The 19,110-nt window shown below is 55.4% G+C and overlaps 1 protein-coding gene and 1 pseudogene across 5 annotated transcripts in view, besides 7 other annotated features; one reads left to right on the forward strand and one right to left on the reverse strand.

Annotated features, from left to right (window-relative positions):
* PDE2A (phosphodiesterase 2A) overlaps nt 1–19,110 on the reverse strand; it is a 98,282-nt gene that overhangs the window by 43,215 nt on the left and 35,957 nt on the right. Inside the window, exons 1-2 of one of the 5 annotated variants that reach the window (XM_005274040.4) lie at nt 16,625–16,776; nt 11,723–11,784 (exon numbers count right to left, since the gene is read on the reverse strand). The exons of 3 other annotated variants lie outside the window; for them this stretch is intronic. In XM_005274040.4, the coding sequence (XP_005274097.1) occupies nt 11,723–11,784; nt 16,625–16,703 (141 nt within the window). In that variant the 5' untranslated portion in view covers nt 16,704–16,776. Of the gene's footprint in view, nt 1–11,722; nt 11,785–16,624; nt 16,777–19,110 lie in introns of those variants that run through there. One more of the 5 variants, NM_001243784.2, reaches the window with a different exon arrangement.
* On the forward strand, nt 2,411–2,472 carry RNU7-105P (RNA, U7 small nuclear 105 pseudogene; annotated as a pseudogene).
* Nucleotides 6,484–7,028: an enhancer, noted in NCBI's record as "H3K4me1 hESC enhancer chr11:72336883-72337427 (GRCh37/hg19 assembly coordinates)". NCBI's record gives its function as "activates a minimal SCP1, AML or CMV promoter by ChIP-STARR-seq in primed H9 embryonic stem cells {active_cell/tissue: H9 hESC(primed)}" and the evidence as "EXISTENCE:reporter gene assay evidence [ECO:0000049][PMID:30033119]".
* Nucleotides 7,029–7,572: an enhancer, noted in NCBI's record as "H3K4me1 hESC enhancer chr11:72337428-72337971 (GRCh37/hg19 assembly coordinates)". NCBI's record gives its function as "activates a minimal SCP1, AML or CMV promoter by ChIP-STARR-seq in naive H9 embryonic stem cells {active_cell/tissue: H9 hESC(naive)}" and the evidence as "EXISTENCE:reporter gene assay evidence [ECO:0000049][PMID:30033119]".
* Nucleotides 9,272–9,797: an enhancer, noted in NCBI's record as "H3K27ac-H3K4me1 hESC enhancer chr11:72339671-72340196 (GRCh37/hg19 assembly coordinates)". NCBI's record gives its function as "activates a minimal SCP1, AML or CMV promoter by ChIP-STARR-seq in naive H9 embryonic stem cells {active_cell/tissue: H9 hESC(naive)}" and the evidence as "EXISTENCE:reporter gene assay evidence [ECO:0000049][PMID:30033119]".
* Nucleotides 10,324–10,849: an enhancer, noted in NCBI's record as "H3K4me1 hESC enhancer chr11:72340723-72341248 (GRCh37/hg19 assembly coordinates)". NCBI's record gives its function as "activates a minimal SCP1, AML or CMV promoter by ChIP-STARR-seq in primed H9 embryonic stem cells {active_cell/tissue: H9 hESC(primed)}" and the evidence as "EXISTENCE:reporter gene assay evidence [ECO:0000049][PMID:30033119]".
* Nucleotides 10,850–11,374: an enhancer, noted in NCBI's record as "H3K4me1 hESC enhancer chr11:72341249-72341773 (GRCh37/hg19 assembly coordinates)". NCBI's record gives its function as "activates a minimal SCP1, AML or CMV promoter by ChIP-STARR-seq in naive H9 embryonic stem cells {active_cell/tissue: H9 hESC(naive)}" and the evidence as "EXISTENCE:reporter gene assay evidence [ECO:0000049][PMID:30033119]".
* Nucleotides 14,421–15,017: an enhancer, noted in NCBI's record as "H3K4me1 hESC enhancer chr11:72344820-72345416 (GRCh37/hg19 assembly coordinates)". NCBI's record gives its function as "activates a minimal SCP1, AML or CMV promoter by ChIP-STARR-seq in naive H9 embryonic stem cells {active_cell/tissue: H9 hESC(naive)}" and the evidence as "EXISTENCE:reporter gene assay evidence [ECO:0000049][PMID:30033119]".
* Nucleotides 15,018–15,613: an enhancer, noted in NCBI's record as "H3K4me1 hESC enhancer chr11:72345417-72346012 (GRCh37/hg19 assembly coordinates)". NCBI's record gives its function as "activates a minimal SCP1, AML or CMV promoter by ChIP-STARR-seq in naive H9 embryonic stem cells {active_cell/tissue: H9 hESC(naive)}" and the evidence as "EXISTENCE:reporter gene assay evidence [ECO:0000049][PMID:30033119]".

The raw sequence follows: 19,110 nt of genomic DNA on the forward strand, positions 1-19,110 counted from the left end.
GCAGCCTGCCCATTAATGGTCCATAGTGGCGAGCCCCTACGGACCATCACATCATCATGGCAGACTATGTTCCCTGGGTCACTGGGAGAATTTCCTTGTGAAAGTATGTAGGTCTGTGTCTCTGTAGGAATCTGTAACCCACATGGGTCGTGAGAGTGTAAACATGTGTGAGTACCCTGTGTCTATGTGTGTGCACTGGCCATCTGCACGTGGGAGTGACCATGTGGGCCTGCATCTATGCATATGTGATTCAGGTCATTGATGTCCATGTGACAGTGGTATAGTCAGTATGTGGCTGTCTGGGGTGCTGTGAATGCGCTGGTGGTTAGTCTTGTCTCCAAATGAGTGAGTGAACGTGTGGCTGAGAGTGGTGGAATCTGAGAGGGTCTAATTCTCCTCCTCTGCGCACCCCTGTCACTTCTCCCATCGCCTCCCTCAGATGCGGGCTCATCTGCCTGCCCTGCCACACACCACATGTACTGGACAAGTCTTTGGACCTTCCTGGGCTCAGTTCCTCATCCGTAAAATGGTCTCTTCCCCCAGAGCTGCTGAGAAGATTAAGCTGAGCCATCAAACCTTGCCTAAGCTGACTCCCAGCAGGGGGCTGGGGCCACCTGTGTGCACATTAGAAAGGAGGGACCCCAATTCTCTGGGCAGATGCGGGCCTGAGGGGAAAGGCTTGGTGAGGGAGAGTGGGCTCAGTTTCAGCACCACCCCACCTCTGCTGGAGCTCCTGTGCAAGGTATAGCCTGCACGGTTAAGAGACTTTGGCCTTGCAGGTGACCAAGAAAGGGCAGCTTCCTTTCTTCCTGCCCCACCTTCAGGTGTGCAGCCTGGAACTAGAGGGTCTCTGATTATAGGACTGGGGTAGACACATTCCAGATGAGACTCAGAGGACACTTACCCCTCCTCACTTCCCTGGGGCCCTGTGCTCTCCACCTACCCCTCAGTGCTCCCTCCCCAAGGCCCAGGAGAAGGCCCCTCAGAAGCCACAAGGGGGACTGACCAGAGCTGGGATGCAGAGCTAGGCCAACTGGGGCCTCTGAGACTCCCCAGTTCCACTCCCATTTTTGGAAAGGGAGACTGAGGCCCAGAGAGTAGCAGGGACCCTCCCAGGAACACAAGCGAACCCAGGAAGTCCAGACTCCTGTTTCAAGGCCTCTGTAGTTGGGTTTGAGAAGACCCAAGCTTTGGACTCTGTTGGCTCCTGAAAGGAGCCCAAGGAAGTGGGTAAAGGTCCCAAAAGACAGGCACTTTGACACCTGTGCCTCAGCTGCGGGTATGGACTCCTATCCACCCCCACCCTCCCGACCGGGACCAGATCCCCTACTGGTGTGATTAACCAAATTATGGGGCTTTTTCTTGAGCAAATTGCATTGGCCTAATTGGATGAGGCTGCAGGAGCCTGGGCTGGAGGCTGACAGTGGTAAGGACGGCAGGGGAGAGGAGGGGGCAGGAGTGAGTGGGCAGGAGGGGGTATCGCTGACAACACCAAGCAGGGGACAGAAGTTGGGGGAGAGGGAGAGAGGAGGGCTGTGGGTGTAAGAGGACACCTCACTCAGCGCACCTTCACTGTGCTCCTACTGGTGCTCCTGTTATTTGGGGACCTGGGGTGCAGGTGTTGAGGTTGCTGCTCCCCAAGAGACCATAGAGTATTTACCAAGTGCCAGAGACTGCATGCATTGGAGCACTGCTTCATGCAATCCTCCTAAGAGCTCCCATTTTATACTTGAGGAAATTGAGGCTCAAGAGATAAAATGACCTGCTGAATGTCAGAGCCTAGACAGGGCTGTCTGACACCACAGGCCCTGCTCTTAATCAGCACCTACAACATCCTGCTGAAGTGCCCACATCCTGCCTCCAGGAAGCCTTCCTGGGTATTCAGAGAAGGGAGGAGCTCGCATCTGGGCACAGACACCATTTCTGTTCCCATTCAGTGTTTCTCCTCATCTACCCTACAATGTCCATGCTCCCTCCCATACTCAGCAGCTGAAGCTGGGGCTGAGCCCACTTGAATCACATGCAGCCCGGTCACCTATAGCACAGCTTCAGTCCCTCTTACTCCCATGCAGAGTCCTGCACTGTGTCACACTCATCAACCAGGATGACACAAGAAGACATGACACCTGTGGCCTTCACACAGCAGGTCCCACCTGCTCGGTGACACACAGTCATTTCAGGGTCCACAGCGTCCCACTGTCCCATGTCACTGGGTGTCACAGGGCCACACACACAGTGATCTCTCACTGTCACCCTCACTTGGAGTCTCCCATATCTTCAGTGTTGCACCCATGTTCCCAAAGCCACCATGTCACCCTCACACAGCATCAGACACAGTTCCACACTGGCTCTGTGTCACTGTTACATTTCAGCATCATCCAGGACCTCCTAGCCTTAAAAAACAAAAATCCAAAGTCACATCTATTTTAGAATTTGTCTAGCAGGTTTTTCAGTCTTCACCGGAAAGCTCCCCCCACCAAAAAAAAAGTCTACCTTTGGTGAAATGACATCATGTCTGGGATTTGCTTTAACATATTTCAGCGAAGCAACCTATGAAATGGGAGAAAAATATTTGCAAAGCTTTTATCTGATAAAGAGGTAATATCTGGAATATATAAAGAACCCCTGCAATTCAATAACAACAAAAAAGCAAACAACCCAATGTTTTAAATGGGCAAAGGACTTGAATCAACATTTTCCCAAAGAAGATATACAAGTGGCCAACCAGCACATGAAAAGATGCTCAACTTCACTAATCATTAGGGAAATGCAAATCAAAACCACAATGAAATGTCACCCCACACCCATTAGGATGGCTACCATTAAAAAATAAAAGAAAAAAAAGAACAGAAAATAACACATGTTGGCAAGGATGTGGAGAAACTGAAACCCCTGTACACTGTCCGTGGGAATGTAAAAAGATACAGAAAACAGTATGGCAGTTCCTCAAAAACCAAAAAATAGAATGACTGTGTGATCCAGCAAGCGTACTTCTAGGTATACATCTGAAAGAATTGGAAGCAGGATCTTGAAGAGATATTTGTACACTTATGTTCATAGCAGCATTACTCACAATAGCTAAAATGTGAAAGCAACCCAAGTGTCTGGTGTTGGATGGATGTGGTCTGTCCATACACTGGAATATTATGTGGCCATAAAAAGGAAGGAAATCCTGTCACATGCTACAACATGGGTAAAACTTGAAGACGTTATGCTAAGTAAACTTAAAAACCAGTCACAAAAAGACAGATACTACATTATTCCAATTACTTGAGGTATCTAGAGTAGTCCAAGTCATAGAGACAGAAAGTAGAATGGTGGGTGCCAGGAGCTGGAGACAGAGGAGGATGGGGGCTGTCGTTTAATAGGTGCAGAGTTTCAGTTTGAGAAGATGAAAGAGTTCCAGAGATTGGTTGCAAAACAGTGTGAATGTACCTACCACAACTGAACTGTACACTTAGAAATGGTTATGATGGTAAAGTTTAAGTTATGTATATTTTACCACAATTTAAAAAATTTTAAGCTTAAGCAAAGGAAAATGAAAGAACAGATAGGGGGCAAGAGAGGAAGAAATGAGGCCAAATCCCAGCAACTGTTGAACTGGGGTGATGAGTATATGGCAGTTTCTTATATGCTTCTCTCTGGTATTGTGTCTGCTTAGAATCACCCATAATAAAAAAATGTAATCTCCCTTTCCAGCGATCATGTCCTTCTCTGCAGCCCTCACAGCCCAACGTCTCCAAAGGGCTCTCCAGGCTAACGTCTTCACCTCCCTCACCATCCTACACAGGCCAGTCTGACTTCTGGCTCCAGCCCATCACTGAAATGGCTCCCATTAGCCTGACTCACCCACAGTGCCCAGCACAGCACAATCTTCCGGTTCCCATCTTACCTGTGGGCCAGCACCATCCACACACCGACCCTCCCTCCCACTTGAGCCTCTTTCCTCCCTTGGCTTCTGGCTTCACACTCCTGGTCTCCTCTGCCTCCCTGGCCCTCCTCCTCTGTCTCGTTGCTGCTCCTTCTCACCTCCCCGGCCTCTAGACAATGGAATATTCAGAGTTTAAGGCTCGGTCCTCAGTCCCCACCTCTTCTGTTGCCAAGCTCCCTCTCTCCATTATCCCAGCCAGGTCCACGACCTTAACAAACCCCCCATGCCTGTCGACTCCCAGATGTATCCCTAGCCTGGCCCCGCTGCCCACTGCACACCTTCACCTGGATGCTTCCCTTAACACATCCAAAACAGCTCACTCGGTTTCTGCCTCCTTGTCCTCCCACCCCACTAGTGCTGACCCTCCCCCTTGCCTTTGCCCATCTCAGAAACATCTTCACCATCCATCGCTTGGTTCTTCAAGCCAGAACCCTGGAAATTGTTCTCTGGTTTTCCCTCTTGCTCATCTTCTCATTTATCAGCAAGTTCTGTCATTTCTGTTTTCAAATATCTCCAAAGTTGCTCCATATCTCTAACTCTTCTGCCATTCCATTAACACAGGCACCACCATCTCCTGCCTGGGCAGCTGCAGGAGCCTCCAGTTGCTCTACCCACCTTCTCTCTGCCTCCCCCTAACTTATCTCCCCTCCCCTGCCACGCACCATGCACACTCGCACACATACATATTCTGCAACCTGAGCAATCTTTTTCTTTTTTTTTTTTTGAGATGGTATTTCACTCGTCACCCAGGCTGGAGTGCAATGGCTCAATCTTGGCTCACTGCAACCTCTGCCCCCTGGGTTCAAGTGATTCTCCTGTCTCAACCTCCCGAGCAGCTGAGATTACAGGCGCCTGTCACCATGCCTGGCTAATTTTTGTATTTTTAGTAGAGATGGGGTTTCACCAGACTGGTCTTGAACTCCTGACCTCAGGTGATCCACCCAGCTCAGCCTCCCAAAGTGCTGGGATTATAGGTGTGAGCCACTGCATCTGGCCAGAGCAATCTTTTAAAACCATCCTTTGGACGGTGTTACTTTCCCGCCTGAACCCATCGGTGCCTTCCCATGACAGTGTCCTACACAGCACTGTATGTGCACATTGCATACTGTTACAACCATTACAGAGCATCACACATGTAATGTCAGGCCCAAGATCACACAGCATCACACGCCCACTTCCACACACTTGCTATCACTCCATGTCATGCCTTTGTTTACACACTCAGCCTCACTAGATCATATGCTTGGGACACACTCAATGTCACAATTCAGTGTCAGACACTCGAGCCACAGACTCAGGACCATACCTGCTACTGCAGCGTCATTTGCTCACGTTTCTGTATTTGATTCTCATGGAGACACACCCTCCATGTGCTCACTGTCACTTTCAGTGTCACACACGTGGTAGCATGCAATGTGCAATGTCACACACTCGGTGTCAGCATCACACAATCAATATCACACAGTGTTACACACTTGGTGGCACAGCCACTGTACACATCTGCTATCATGGAGTGCCTCACAGCCAGTGTCACATACTCAGTGACTCACCCACACTCCACACAGTACCCTATGATCATGGTCACGTACTTGATATTACACGTCATAAGCTCCGTGTCACATGTGCAGAACGCCCCCTGTCCCACAGTGTCTCAGTGTCCCTCTTGGCATCACCCTGGGTCCCACAAGCTTGGCCCCTCGTCCCCACCCCAACTGGGCACAGTCGCCAGGGCTGTTGCCCCATGTCACGGCTGTTTCCTGTTGTTGTGCTCAGAGTCCTCAGCCTCTGCTTGTTCCTTCAAGGATTTCCTGTTGTCAGGGCCCCTGGCAGGCCTGGCCTGTCTGGGATACACACCCCTAAGCCCAGAGGCTGGCCAGCAGGAACCCTGGGCCCTCTGCCTCCCCACTCCAACATTCCGGCTGGATCCATGGGACTTTCCATCCTCCCCTGGTCCACCAACCTGGATCCCCCATGTGTCTGCACTGGTGCTGGCTCTACTGGGATGGACAGAGGAGATCAGCTCCGGGCCTCGCCCCAGCCCCAGGGTGCCCAGACCTGTGCTTCCCAGAACAGGGCTCCAGGGCAGCCTGCACAAGCTGTTACAGCAACTGAACAACTGTGGACAGGACCAGCCCAATGCTCCACGTGAAGCTGCTGAAAGCCTGAGGAGTGGGAGATGGAGGGCAGAGGACAAGGGTTCGAGGGTTTAAAGTTGAGGAAGACTTCCCAGATGGAGCGGCTAAGAGCCAGGAAACAGGGAGGAGGAGGAGGAAAAGGCAGCCTGAGGAGGGGACACCAGGCTGGAGGCCGGAACCTGGAGGAGACAGGATGGACCAGGAAGAAGAAAGGAACATGAGAGAGGTGGAGGGCATTTGTGGGGTTTGGAGAAAACAGGCTTCTCTCCCATCTGCTCCCACCTCTCCCTCAGCCAGCACTCAAATTCAGGCTCTAGGCAGGGGCCTCTGGCACACCCTTCCCTCCTAGCCCCACAGACTCCCCCCAGCAAGGGCGCTGCCAAGCTCCCTCTCCTCCTGCCCCAGCCGGTCTGCAGGAAGGACACACGGAGGCCAGTGCACACGCTCTTCACACAGCCTGAGATAAATATTTCCCGGGAAACGGAACTTGTTCTCTCAGTGTTTACAGCCAAAGGCCAGGCAGGACGGTGGGGGGTGGGGCCGGCTGGAGCAACCTCAGCCCGGGGCCGCAGCATCTGGCCTGGGCACTGCCTTGGACCTGCCTGCGCCTCTATGCCAGCTCCTGCCTTTCCCTGAGTCTCAACTCCAGGCCCTTGACGAGGCTGGCCCTCCCTGGGCCTAGGCCTTGCCCGCGAGCCTGGCGTGGTCTCAGCATGTGTCTTCTCTGGGTATAAGTCCCCGGTGCTTTATGCCTCCTCCTTTAGACTAGGCTTCTTTGATGGCAGGACCTGCGATGCCCATCTCTCTCTTTACTCAGTCAGCCAGGGGTGTGGACAGTGGATGGGCAGGCAGAGAGACAGGCTAGAGTGGCAGCTGAGACCGCCTCCCTGGTCCCAGGTCCCTGCACGCCCCGGGCCTGTGCAGCCCAACAGGGGCACAGACAGATGGCAGGGCCTCAGGACCCCCATGGATGCCAGATGCTAAGGCCAACTTGTTGGCAGCCACTCCCTTGGGGCCATGGGGCATTGTAGAGGCCACTGGCTCCTGATGTGCAGAATCCAGGAGGAAGTAGCACATCTGGCAGCTAGGAGCACTCACTTGAGAATGTTAGATAAGGGCCCGAAAAGTGCTGCCTACAGCGCGGCCCCTCCAGCCTCACCCCAGGACTTGCTGGTAAGCTATGCTCGTATACTCGGAGCCTTCTCCCCTCCCACTCCTGCCCACACTCTCGCACAAGCTGCTCCTTCCCCAGCGAAGCCCTACTCCACCTGCAGCGGCAATGGCAATACCCCCTCCAACCTGGCTCCCGCCCCTGCCTAGTGCTACCCCCGCAGCTGGGCCCACATATTCACTGGTGGCCTCAGCCTCACCCTGACTCTGGCACCAAGCCTTCCTCAGCCCAGCACTCATGGGCAGAGTGTTTTGGAGCCGGGTTCTGAGCATGAGCCAACCTCCTGCAGCCTCCTCTGGGGCTGAGTCCTTGCTCCAGCCTCCTCTATCTGCTTTTTCCCAGTCCTGTTCTGGTCCTGGTTGTCCTTAGCTGCTGCTGTCAGAAGCTGACCTCATGGACCTCTCTGACTGCCTAGCTGGTCCCTGGCTTCTTCGGTTGGTGCCCTTGACCCTCTCCATCCTTCAAAGTTCTAAGGTTGCCTCCTCCAAGTCTCCAAGACCGCCCAACCCAACTGTGCCCCTTCTTGGAACTACTCCAGCCCTACTCACAGCCACTCTTGTTCATTCAAGAAGTATTTATTGAGCACCTACCATATACCAGGCCTATACCAAGCACCACATGGGCCCAAGAGAGACAAAGGAGACTCAGTCTCAGCCTCTGCCTCCTGGGTGTTTACAACCCCATGGGGAAGGATACACTACCCACAGCACCCCGTGGGGTAACAGGTTTCCCAACTGTGGGCTCAGGGAAATGGGGACTGTGAGTGCCCAGGGAAGGGAGGAGACTGGCTCGGCCTGAGGTAGAGGGACCAGTCTGAGGAACGTCACAAAGGAGGTGACATTTCATCTGGGCCTTGAAAAGAGAGTAGGTGGAGAAAGAAAGGAAAGGTATTCCAGACAGGTGGTCAGTGTGAGCAAAGGCAGGGAGGCAGGGGGAGCTGCTGTGTGCTGGGAGTGAACACAACAATGTGGCTGTAGCGCTGGCTGTCTCAGGGCATAAGGGGACACAAGGGGACATGAGGGGACCCAGCAGGCAAGGCCAGCAATGCCCTGCCAAGGGGTGTGGTCTTTGTCCCAAGGGCAGCAATAGAGGAGCCGGTGTTGGGCAGTGCATTTCAGTACTTATTGTGGATGTCAGTGCCCTCATCCACGTCCGCCTCTCCCCATGCCCCCATCCCAGCTAAGGCTCCCAAGCCGCCATCTGGGCCCTGAGAGCCATCACAAAGAGGGCATTGACTCAGCATGCTCAATTCACCAACTTGAACTGCCCCAGACCTGACTTTCAGAGAGACAGTAATGATGCAGAGGCCTGGCCCTGAAGGAGGATGCCAGGCTGAGCTGGAAGAGCCCCTCCTCCAAGTCAGCTGCTGGCACAGGGGCTAGGTAACCATCCCAGGAGGGTGTGCTGAACACACGCCTGCTGGGTGGGGATGGGTGCTGGCAGCTCTGCTTTCTTGGCTGCTGCCCAGCCAGTGCCAGGAGAGTGTGCCATGCCCATAGAACTTCCATAAGCCTCAGCCCAGCTCTGCAGAGCATCCTGTCTCACAGGGGTACAGCCTAGTCCTGGCTCTAAGGATGTCATCCTTGAGGGAAACAGAGAGGAGGCTAACTCTCCCCAAGGATCTGCCATGTGCCAGGCCTGCGCCGGGCACCCCACACATACAGTCTTTGTAACTTCTCCCAACAGCTCTATTGTGGTAATGTTGAATAACAGTGATTACATCCAAGAATGATAGAGGTTCTTTTTTTTTTTTTTTGAGATGGAGTCTCACTCTGTCACCCAGGCTGAAGTGCAGTGGCGCGATCTCGGCTCACTGCAAGCTCTGCCTCCCGGGTTCACACCATTCTCCTGCCTCAGCCTCCCAAGTAGCTGGGACTACAGGCGCCCACCACCACAACCGGCTAATTTTTTGTATTTTTAGTAGAGACAGGTTTCACCCTGTTAACCAGAATGGTCTCGATCTCCTGACCTTGTGATCCACCTGCCTTGGCCTCCCAAAGTGCTGAGATTACAAGCGTGAGCCACCGCTCCCGGCAGTGATAGACGTTCTTATCCCGCCTGGCAGGTGAGGAGACTGATGCTCAGGCTGGTTAAGTGACAGGCACAAGGCCACACACCTAGGAAGCAAGGGAGTTGGGACTTGAACCCGTGCTCATCTGACCCTGTGGCTTGTCCACTATATGAGGCCATCTTGGCTTCCCAGATCCACCCTGACAGGAGGGCCCCTCAGGCTCCCAGTCCCTTTTCCCTCCAGCTGCCCCTGTGGTCTGAGCAATGCCCTCGGGTCCCCACTCTCTCCAGTCTTGCCCTCTCCATGTTGGCAGCGTCCCCTCAGGCAGCCCATCTCTTCCCAGCAGTGCTGAGTATAGGCCTGGGCACTCGGGTGGGGTGCTGGCAGGACCCAGAAATCCAGCAGGCCCTGCCAAGAGTCCAGGCAGACACTAACTGTTTTGGGGATGAGTGTGGGGATGGGGTCAGGACAGAGCTGAGGGCTGAGGAGCTCATGGCTCCAGATCCTCGGTCAGAGGGAAGAGGCAGCAGGACCCAGCTCAAGGAAAGGCAGAGAAAATACAGGGATAGGAGCAGGTGGGGCCGACCCAGGGAAGCCTCATGGGAAGGACGAGGCCGGTGGAGCTGGACAAAGAGCAGAACTTGAACCTGCAGAGGGCAGGCAGATGGCCTAGGCAGCGGGGGCTGCCCCAGAGGCATAGCAGGGTGCCTGGAGCCATACTCCTTCCCTCAGGGCACAGTCCCCGTTGCCCAGGAGGGTCTCAGCTTTGCCAAAGCCCCCTCTTCTTGTGGCTCCCTGGGTGGATGACAAATCCAGTCTTTCCTGGCGGGTGGCCGAGGCTGCTGAGACACTGCAGGCTCCCAGGAACACCATCTGTCCCAGCTCTGGGGGGAGCCCCGCCCCATGGGGAATGCCATGGCAGTAAATAAATTAATAATGTGGCTTTCCAGGCCCTCCCCTCCCAGCTCCCTTTGCCAGCTCCCAGCAGCAGGGCCCAGCCCCACTTGGAGGCACATTCTCAGGTCTTGGCCCTGTGTCCCAGCAGGGAACCTGTGCTGAGCCCCTCCTGTGCACCAGGCCCTGTGTGGGCACCTTCTTTCCCATCTTACTCAGGGGCCGGGAAAGAGTGAGCCTCGAGCCTGAGACACATCTAGGCTCCAATCTTAGCTCTGTCCCAACTCACTTGCTGAATGATCCCTCTGGGCCTCAGCTTCCCCAAATGTGAAATAGGAATAATAGCAGCCCCTACCTCATGGGGGTGCTGTAATAATTAAACAAGGTGGGTGTCAAAGGCTCCTGGCACACAGGAGGGCTGATACAAGCATCATCTTCCTCTCCCTCTCAGCCAGGCCTGGGCAGACTCTGTTCTGGCTGTGGGTCCAGTTCTCTCTCTCTCTCTCACACACACACACACCCTCCTCTGTGCCGATCTTCAACATCAGCAGCCCACCTTGTTTGCTCGTCAAGGCCCCTTTGAGCACTGAAGAGTCCTATGAGGCACCCCTCACAGGGAAGGAAGGCATGGTCGGGGGGTGGGGATGGCACCCCTCGCAGGGCAGGAAATGCGCTGGCTGAGCCCTGCACCGGTACCCATCCAAGGGTGGTAGAAGGTTCAGGAATGAAGAAAGCACAGTCCCGAGGCTCAAAGAGCTCACAGTGCAGAGAAGACAAGGCAGACACACATACAGAGTCACGTGATGGAGAAAACAGGGTGCTCGTGGCACAGCACGGTGGGCGACAGACAGCAGAGCGCCCTGGCATCTGACTGCCAGGGCAGGAGAGCTCAGAGGAGGGAGCAGGAGTGAGCTTGGTCCCATGGTCAAGGGGTAGAGAGGACTTCCCAGAGGAAAGGAGGCTAGAGCTGATCCCCGAAGGATTTAGGAAGCTGAGTGGGGAAGAGGCCAGCAGGAGCAGTTTGGGGGAGGCAGGAATGGATGAAGGGGAACGATTGCCAGGCTGGGGTTGTGGAGGGGGCATGGGGGTGGGGAGCATGGAGGATTCTGGGGCAAGAGAGTGACAAGTTCAGGTCTGTGCATTAGAAAGATCCTCCTGGTGGCCACGTGGATGATGGGGGAAACTGAAAGCAAGCAGCCAGTGAGTGGCCCAGGGGAGAGTTGAGGGAGCCTGGACCCAAGCAGGCGGCAGAATGGAGAGGAGAGGAACTCGGGAAATACTCAGGGCAGAGAATCAACGGGAATTGTTGGGTGAGGGTGGGGAGGACAAGGGAGGAGTCTGTAGTGACTCCCCAGGTGAGTTGGGAGGAGGAATCCTCATGGGAGGACTTCCAGGCTGGGGATATATAGGGTGAGGGGAGATGGTCTTGATATAGGGGTGGTCCTAGTCTGGAGGGCTGGGGCTGGGATGTGACTCCAGCCTCCCCGTCCTCCCAAGGGGGAGGGCACCACTCAGACTGATCTTCAGTCTGCGCCCCACCCCCTCAAGCCCACCCACTTCTCCCTCCACTGAGCTCTCACCTCCAGTCGGTCGTCTCTACTCCCTGGGGGTCCTGGCTCCTTTGCAAGGGGGTCCAGGCTGGCTGCAGAGACAAGAAGGTCAGGGGCTGAGGCCGGCCAGGCCTTCTCCCCTTCTCCCCAGACTGTCCTCCCATTAGCCCCCAGCAAGCCCACGGATGGCCCCCTCCTCCAGGGAGCCTTGCCTGCTTGCACCCTGCTCTCTCCCAAGACTCCCTCCTTGTTCTCTGCTTCCCATGGGCACCTCTGGCTCTGCCATATTCTCTGTTCCTTGACTCTGAGAACAGAGCCATATTCCTTCTTTCCACCTAGGGCTCCTAAGGAGTGGAAATGACCACCTCTTTACTCTTTCTGAGGCCTCCTCCACTTCTGCTTCTCTCCAGGGAGCTCTACTAGCCCTCTCTAAGCCTCAGTTTCTCTGTCTGTAAAATGGGATCCGTAATGTCCACCTCACACAGTCACTGGGCCTCCACAGTGAGTTGGGCCTTTACTGACAGACAACCAAGGGGCTTCCAACCTGGGTGCTGTGAGTCTCAAATGAATGTGAGACCATGTGGGAGCCCCCCTACCCCAGCCTGGCGCCCAGTCATCTGGACTGGGATCAGACCCCCGACCTGTATCCTACCAGCACCACTTCCACAGTTCCCGGAATGCTAGCGGTGGAGACACTGCCACAGCAGCCTGGAGACACAACAGAGACCTGCTCACTCATTCTCCAGAAGCCCACCACCCTGCAGCATTCCAAACCCCCAGCCTCTCTGAGGGGCACTGCCCAGGGCCTGGCTGCCAGGCTCCTGCCCCTCCCCACCCCCACCCAACAAGCCTACTCAGGCATCGGACAGGCGGTGGGATATTCTGAGCCTGGCTTCGTTCCCGTCAGCTGCTGGCCGCCATGCCAGCCTGGCGCGGGTGCAGGGGCTGATTTGATTTGGCAGCTTCAGAATCGTGTGGTGGGGACTGGGAGGGGGAGGGGGATGAGACACCCATCCCTGCTAGTCCCTGCTAGGAAATAAACAGCCTGAGGCACTCCTTCTGTGAGCTGGGGGGAGGGCACAGTCTGGCATGGAGGAGGTTCTGGGTTCCCTGCTGGTGTCCCCCTCTTCTCGCCTGGGCACTGGATACCTGCCCACGACTACTGGAATCTCTGGCTCTCCTTGGGTTGACCGTAGGGGTGACAGGAGCTGCACCTGGTGTGTGGAGGCTTGTGGTGTGGCCGAAGCAGGGCGTCTGGTTGTCCCACGTGTCCCTGTGCCCTGCAGGGTCTTCCCTCTTAGCTGCGCCTGCAGCTGGGCCTGAGTGTCACCTGGAGAGACTGGGTCTGTGTGTGGTGTGATGGTCTAGGTGTGGCCATCTCCGGCAGTGACTGTGGTGTGTGTCTGGGCCTCTATGAGGGGCTGACTGCAGCCCAGGGTGTGGCAGGGTCACCCATGTGCCTGACTCTCCTGTAGGGCCTGGTATGCACTGGCCCTGGCCTGTTCCTTCCCTCTGTGCAATGACCCCACTCACCCAGTCATGTCCGGCAGAGGAAATGACGAGGGTTGAGATAAGTGCCTGACCCAGGGCTGTCCCTTTTATCCACAAAGCCTGAGTCTTCTTTTCCACCCACAGCCAGATGGGCTACCTGCTGAGCAGCCAGGGACAGCCCCCTCCCCTCCCCTGAGAGGAGGGAGGGCCAGTTTCACTGGAGAATCCAGCTCCCCCCTCACACCTCCCACCACCCCCAGGACAGGTTCCCTCCCCCCAGCAGAGGCACTGCCCGGAGGTGGAGGCAGGGTGCTGGCTCCTGTCCCTCCCCAACCCCACCTAACTTCTGGTTCCCCCTCCAGCCAATTTCAAGTGTGGGGAAAGTGCCTAGGATGAGGGGATTCTTAGCTAGGTATTCCCAGCTCCCTGTAATCCCACCTAGCCTGTGTTTATCACCCTCCTATCTCCTGTACATAGGCCCCCCAGGCCAGCTCACCCCTCCTGGACACTGGAATCTGCACCAACCCGCCAATAACCTACCAGTGCCCTGGAGGCCTGGACTCCATAGCCGCCAGTTAGAGAACTGCTGCTGGAGAACCAGGGCTTCTGATTCCCAGACCTCTGCATTGTGGGGTCAGACCAGGACCCTAGTCCAGGCCAGGGCTGTGTCCAAGCCACCAGCCAGGGAGGTCAGGGGAGGGTGGAGTCTGCTTTAGGGAAGACTCAGCCTCTCATCTGTCACCGCCTCCCCATTGTCCCACGTCCTGTGGGGACCTCAGGGCTCTCCCCACCCAGCAACAGGAAGCTGAGCCCCTCCTGAAGACACTGAAGGAGTGGCCCCAGGACTGAAGGGGGGACTCAGCCTTGCCCTTCGAGTCACAGGAGGAACCTAGGCTCACAGAGTTCAGTTGTCACAAAGGGGCTAGTTGGATGAAGATGGTCTTCAGGGGTCCTAAGGGGCTTCCTGGAGGAGGTGTGTGAGGCCTGACAGGAAGAGGAGGACACTGGGTTCCAGGGTGGCCTCCTGATGGTCTGACCAGTTTTCAGCTGGGATTTATGGACCCCGTGACACGCTTGCACATGTTTATGTGTCTGTGTCTGGGTGCATGGGTGTGCATCCCAGTCCTGGAGGCCTGAGCTCTAGTCTGTGTCCCAAGGACAGTGTCTGCCAGAGGCAGGAGTCAGCAGACAGCAGGGATAGTGAAGGAGAGAGGAGCTGGGCAAAGAAGAGGAAGGGAGGGCAGCTCAGGGCTGTGAAGAAGGGCTGAGGAGAGAAGCCCCCTACCGCATTTCTGTAGGTGCCTGTGTGCTTAGCGCTGATCATCACAGTCAGTTCTCAAACCCTGGACGCCTGATGCCAAGGGCAGTGTGCACCCATGACCCAGCGCTGAAGGGAGCACAGCACTGGGCTCTGCCTCAGCCTACTGTGCAGCTTTGGACAGGACCTTCCCCTCTCTGACCTGGCCTCCTTATCCGAAGAATAAAAGGGTTGGACTTGGTGATCTCCCAGGGCCCTTCCAAATCTAACTTTCACTGGAGAGAGGCTTAAACCCAGAGAGCGCCAGAGACGAGACCTCACGGGGATGGGGAGGGCCTGAGGGCAAGCGGAGATGAGAAGAGGGAAGGGGCAGCAGGAGGAAGCGGGTGGCAGAGTCACGACAGGAGGGCCCGGGGAGGCACACTTCTGGCCTGCAGCTGGGGAGGGGCTCCCTGCCGGGGACAATGGAGCCTTGTGGAGGACTGGGGGCAGCTGTCACCACCACACCTGCTTCTGGCCTGTGGGAAGAGGAAGACGGAGGGATGATGGACAGAGGCTCTGCTCCCTAACCTGAGCCCCACCTCCACTCCTGCCCCTCAGGTGTCCCAGGGGAAGTGGGGGAGGCTGTGGGCAAAAAGGAACACCCAGGACTGGGAATCAGGAAGCCTGATTTCAGGCCCCGTTGTGCTGTGTGACCAGGGCCAGCTTTGGTCTGTGAACCTACCAGGCAGCGGAAGCCCTTGGAACTGTGCAGCTGTACTGGGCTTCTAAGGATCCATCAGGGATGGGCACTCTGGAAGGAAACCCTCCCCTGCAGCCTGGACCCCTCCCCAACTCTGGCCTGGGTGCCAAGGCATAAGAAGGACTCAGGAGGCAGTGAAACACTGGACAATTGGGCTGGCCTTCTGCCAGGCTGGACTGTGGCCTTGCACACAGGGGAGGACCTGTCAGCACTTCCAGTCCCTGACCTGGGACTCCTTTCCTTGACCCCTTCTCACTGTCACCCTTGGGGCAAGAACAGGGTCTTCCCTCCTCAGCCTATACTGAGAGGGTGCTGATGGGACCCCACTGGCTGTCCTGGCCTCTGCCCTTGTCTGAGCCTTTGGACGCGGGGCCCTCGAAGGCAGGGGTTCATGCATTTCCATGTCTGTGTCCAGGAAGTATTCATGTCCTGTTTTCCCCCTCAGGCTGTCAGGGAAGGGGCGGGGGTGAGCAGACCTCTCCTTCCTCCACTGCTGCCATTTCTGCCCAGAGACTTCGAGGGCTGGGAGGAAAGGGTAGTTACCCCTCTCTCTGCCCAGTCTGAAATGGTTAAGGAATAGAGGCCAGTGCTGAAGGAAATGAGCCCCTTACCCTGCAAGCTTTGGGAGTGGAAGCTCTCTCGAATGTACACACACCAGTTCTGTTGTGACAGGAGAAACAACCTGTGTGACCCAGGTTGAAAAGGTCTCTATTCTCTAAGGCCAGCCCAGCCTCTTCTGTCCTCCCTCACTGGGAGTGGAGGGAGCGCCCACCATTCTGAGCTATCTGTCTCCATTGCTTCTTGTTATGTTTTTAATAACTGAACATTGACATTAACAAGGCAGGTGGTTGCAGCTCTTCCCAGCAGCCCCATTTAGAATCATTGAATCATCAAACCATCAAATCCTAGAATCCTAGATTCACAGAATGTCCGTATCTCTAGCTCCTAGAGCCTCAGCATCTTAAAGTCTCAGAATGTCGGAATCACACAACCACGCATCCACACAGCCCTGGCTGGGAGCTGAGAGTCAAGGAATGCTAGAATTGTCCCAGTTAGAACCCCACAGACTAACAATTCCAGATTCTCAAAATCCTATACTCCTAGAGCTAGAGCTCATATATCGCTTGGAGATATTGACCCCCAACTTCCTCCTTTTACAAGTGAGAAAATGCAGCCCAGAAAAATGGTCTTGTGCAAGAATACCCGAGAGTGGGGGCCAAGGAATGCCCAGCTCAGAGACTGCAAGATCGGACCTCAGCATTCTGATAATTCGGGAAATGGAACAGCTTTCCCATTCTGAAATACCAGTATTGATGTTGGGGCGATACTGCTCTTCAGCTCTGCCTGTCTCCCTTTGCTCTCACTCCCGGCCCTCTCCATTCTTTCGGCCACCCGACCTTCCCGCTCCCCCTCCACACCACGAGATCTCAGCCCCTCTTACCCTGAGCTCCCGAAACTCCCATGCCCTTCCTGTCTCCCAGTGGCAGCCCCCAGTAGAGGCAACCGTGGATGGGAGGCATGCAAGGCCAACTCCCTTAGGGTGGGAGACAGGAAAGGCAGAATGCCTGCCCCCTGAAGCCACCAGCCAGAGTACAGGCTCTGCAGAGGAGGGGCCCTGCCGGCTACTCTCAAGGGAGCTGAACAGGAAGGTCCTGGAGCTGCAGGGGGCAGCCACATCAGAGGCAGCAGCTTCAAGGGAGCCAGATCCAAAGTTCTGGGAAGCAGCTGAGGCTTACAATTTACATTAGAACAATCACGCATGTTTAGCATTTTCATAAATTTACATTTTTACTCATTTTGGAATGTACTCAGACATTTTTGGATTTGAATTTTATTAAGTATTACATTTCACAGATTGTTTTGATTATTGAATTCTGAACACCCTTTGCCCAGGGCAGATCTCAAGTTCCCATGTTACAGGTGAGGCTGTAGCAGCCCTGGGCCGGCTTCAGGTCTCCCTTTAATCTCAAAGCTCATGATCTCCTCTGAGGCTTTTCCAAGACCTTTTGGTCCTTAAAGGGCCCTGACACAGGCCCAGGCATCTGCCACTAACCCCTGTCTTCCCTCCTATACATCTCAGAGACTGCACAAAACCCATCCAGACACCTGGGTGGGGCAGCATTCTCCTCCCTTGCCCTTCACGTCTACAGCTGTCCAGCTCCCTCCACCAGCCCTGGCCACTCCGTCCCCTCCCCTCCATTCTTCAGCCATTTCCCTGTCCAGGCCTCATCACCCCCGCTTACCTGGACCACACCAGCCTCCCCTTCAGTCTCCACACCATGGTCCAGGGAGCTATTGAACATGCAGATCTGATCTGTCATATCCGTTCTCTCAACTCTTCCCCAGGGTCAATTTCCCTCCAGAATAAGTCCGCAGTCCTTAACATGGCTTACAAGTCCTGCACCATCTGGCTGGGCCAGCTTTACCAGTCCCCATCCCCCCGGACCCAGCCGGCTGGCACCCAGGGGCCTGCTCCATGGAGTGGTGCTGCCACAGGCTCTCCTCCCTCTGTCTGCCACCAGCGAACCTTCACAGTAACCATTCTCTCCCCTCTGTCCAGAACTTTCTCCTGGCTTGACCTTAGCTCTCAGTTCAGATTTGTTTCCTCCTGGAAGCTCCCCAACATGCCCCTCCCTCCCACTCTGGGCTGAAATAGGGGTCCCTGCTTTATATCACCATGGCCCCTGAGTTTATCTCCCTCGTTGCCCTCCCCACACACTCTACCAACATCACTCCCTGTTTCTCCGCCTCCCCTCCCCCAGCCCTAGTACCTAGGTCTGTGCCACCTGCCAAGGGGCTGATGCAACATTGCTCAGGCTTGGAGGAAGGTGTGGGGATTTTAAGGCCTGCATCCTGCTCATCTCTTCCCACCCTCTGTGCTGGGCACATAGCAGGTGTTCACTAATGTCCACCTAGGAAGTCCTGGAAGTACACATGTGTGACTCAGACAGGAAGGGCACTGTGCTCAAAGGAGGTAAGAATCCCTGGGCTGAGTGGAACTGGAGACTTCCTGGAGGTAGCATCTGGGAGGACCCTTCATATGTCAGTCCTAAGGCAGCAATTAGGGACAGTCTGCGGGAAGTGCCCAGGCCAGCCCTAGGGCTGTCAGAGCAAACCATCAGTGGAGGACTAGAGTCTGCAATGAGGGGGACTCAGTGCCTCGGGCTCAGGGTAGTGGACACTGGAGGAGCTGGCTGTGCATTCAGAGAAGCCTTCTTGGAGGAAGAGCTACTTCTGGCTGGCATGGGACAAGGAAGAAGGTAGAGATGAGTCAGGTTGGAGAAAGTGGTGAGGGACAGGGATATGGAAAAGAAAGCTCTGTAGCTTCTCGTCATTTACCCTTAGGATGTCAAGATCAGGGAGGTCGGGGGATGGGCAGAAGGAGTAAAGAAGACTGAGGCAGAATGAAGATAACATCAGCACCGATGCCATGGTCAGGACGGGTATGGATAGCTGGGGCTGGCAGGGAGCAGGTCCCCAGCTGTGGCTGGGAAACATTTCCTGTCTCCTTGCCAGGGGGGTCATTAATAATCGTTTACCCGCCGCAGGCAGCACAGAGGCCAGCCAGAGAGCAGCATGGTGCTAGGACCAGAGCCCAACCTGGCAGCAAGAAGTGCTGTCTTCTGACACCAGCCGCGCCACCCTGCTGTGAGACCTGCACCAGTCACCTGACCCTTCTTGGTCTCTGGAGCTACTGGTAAAAGAAGGGCCTGATGAGATGCTGCCTGATGAGATGAGAGTCCCCTCATCCGATGGACCCCAGTTTCCCTAGACAGAGCTGGACTGCCAACCCTACATGGCAGTTCCAGTCACTTGATGATAGGTGTGAGCATCTGGACTCTGCCAGACCCAGCTCAGGACACACACGGTGGGTAGAGGAGAGACCCGGGCCCAGCCTCTGCAGAGCTCACATTCTGGTAGGAGCCA

The sequence above is a fragment of the Homo sapiens genome, chromosome 11, assembly GCF_000001405.40.
Source record: "Homo sapiens chromosome 11, GRCh38.p14 Primary Assembly".
Classification (NCBI taxonomy): Eukaryota; Metazoa; Chordata; class Mammalia; order Primates; family Hominidae; genus Homo; species Homo sapiens.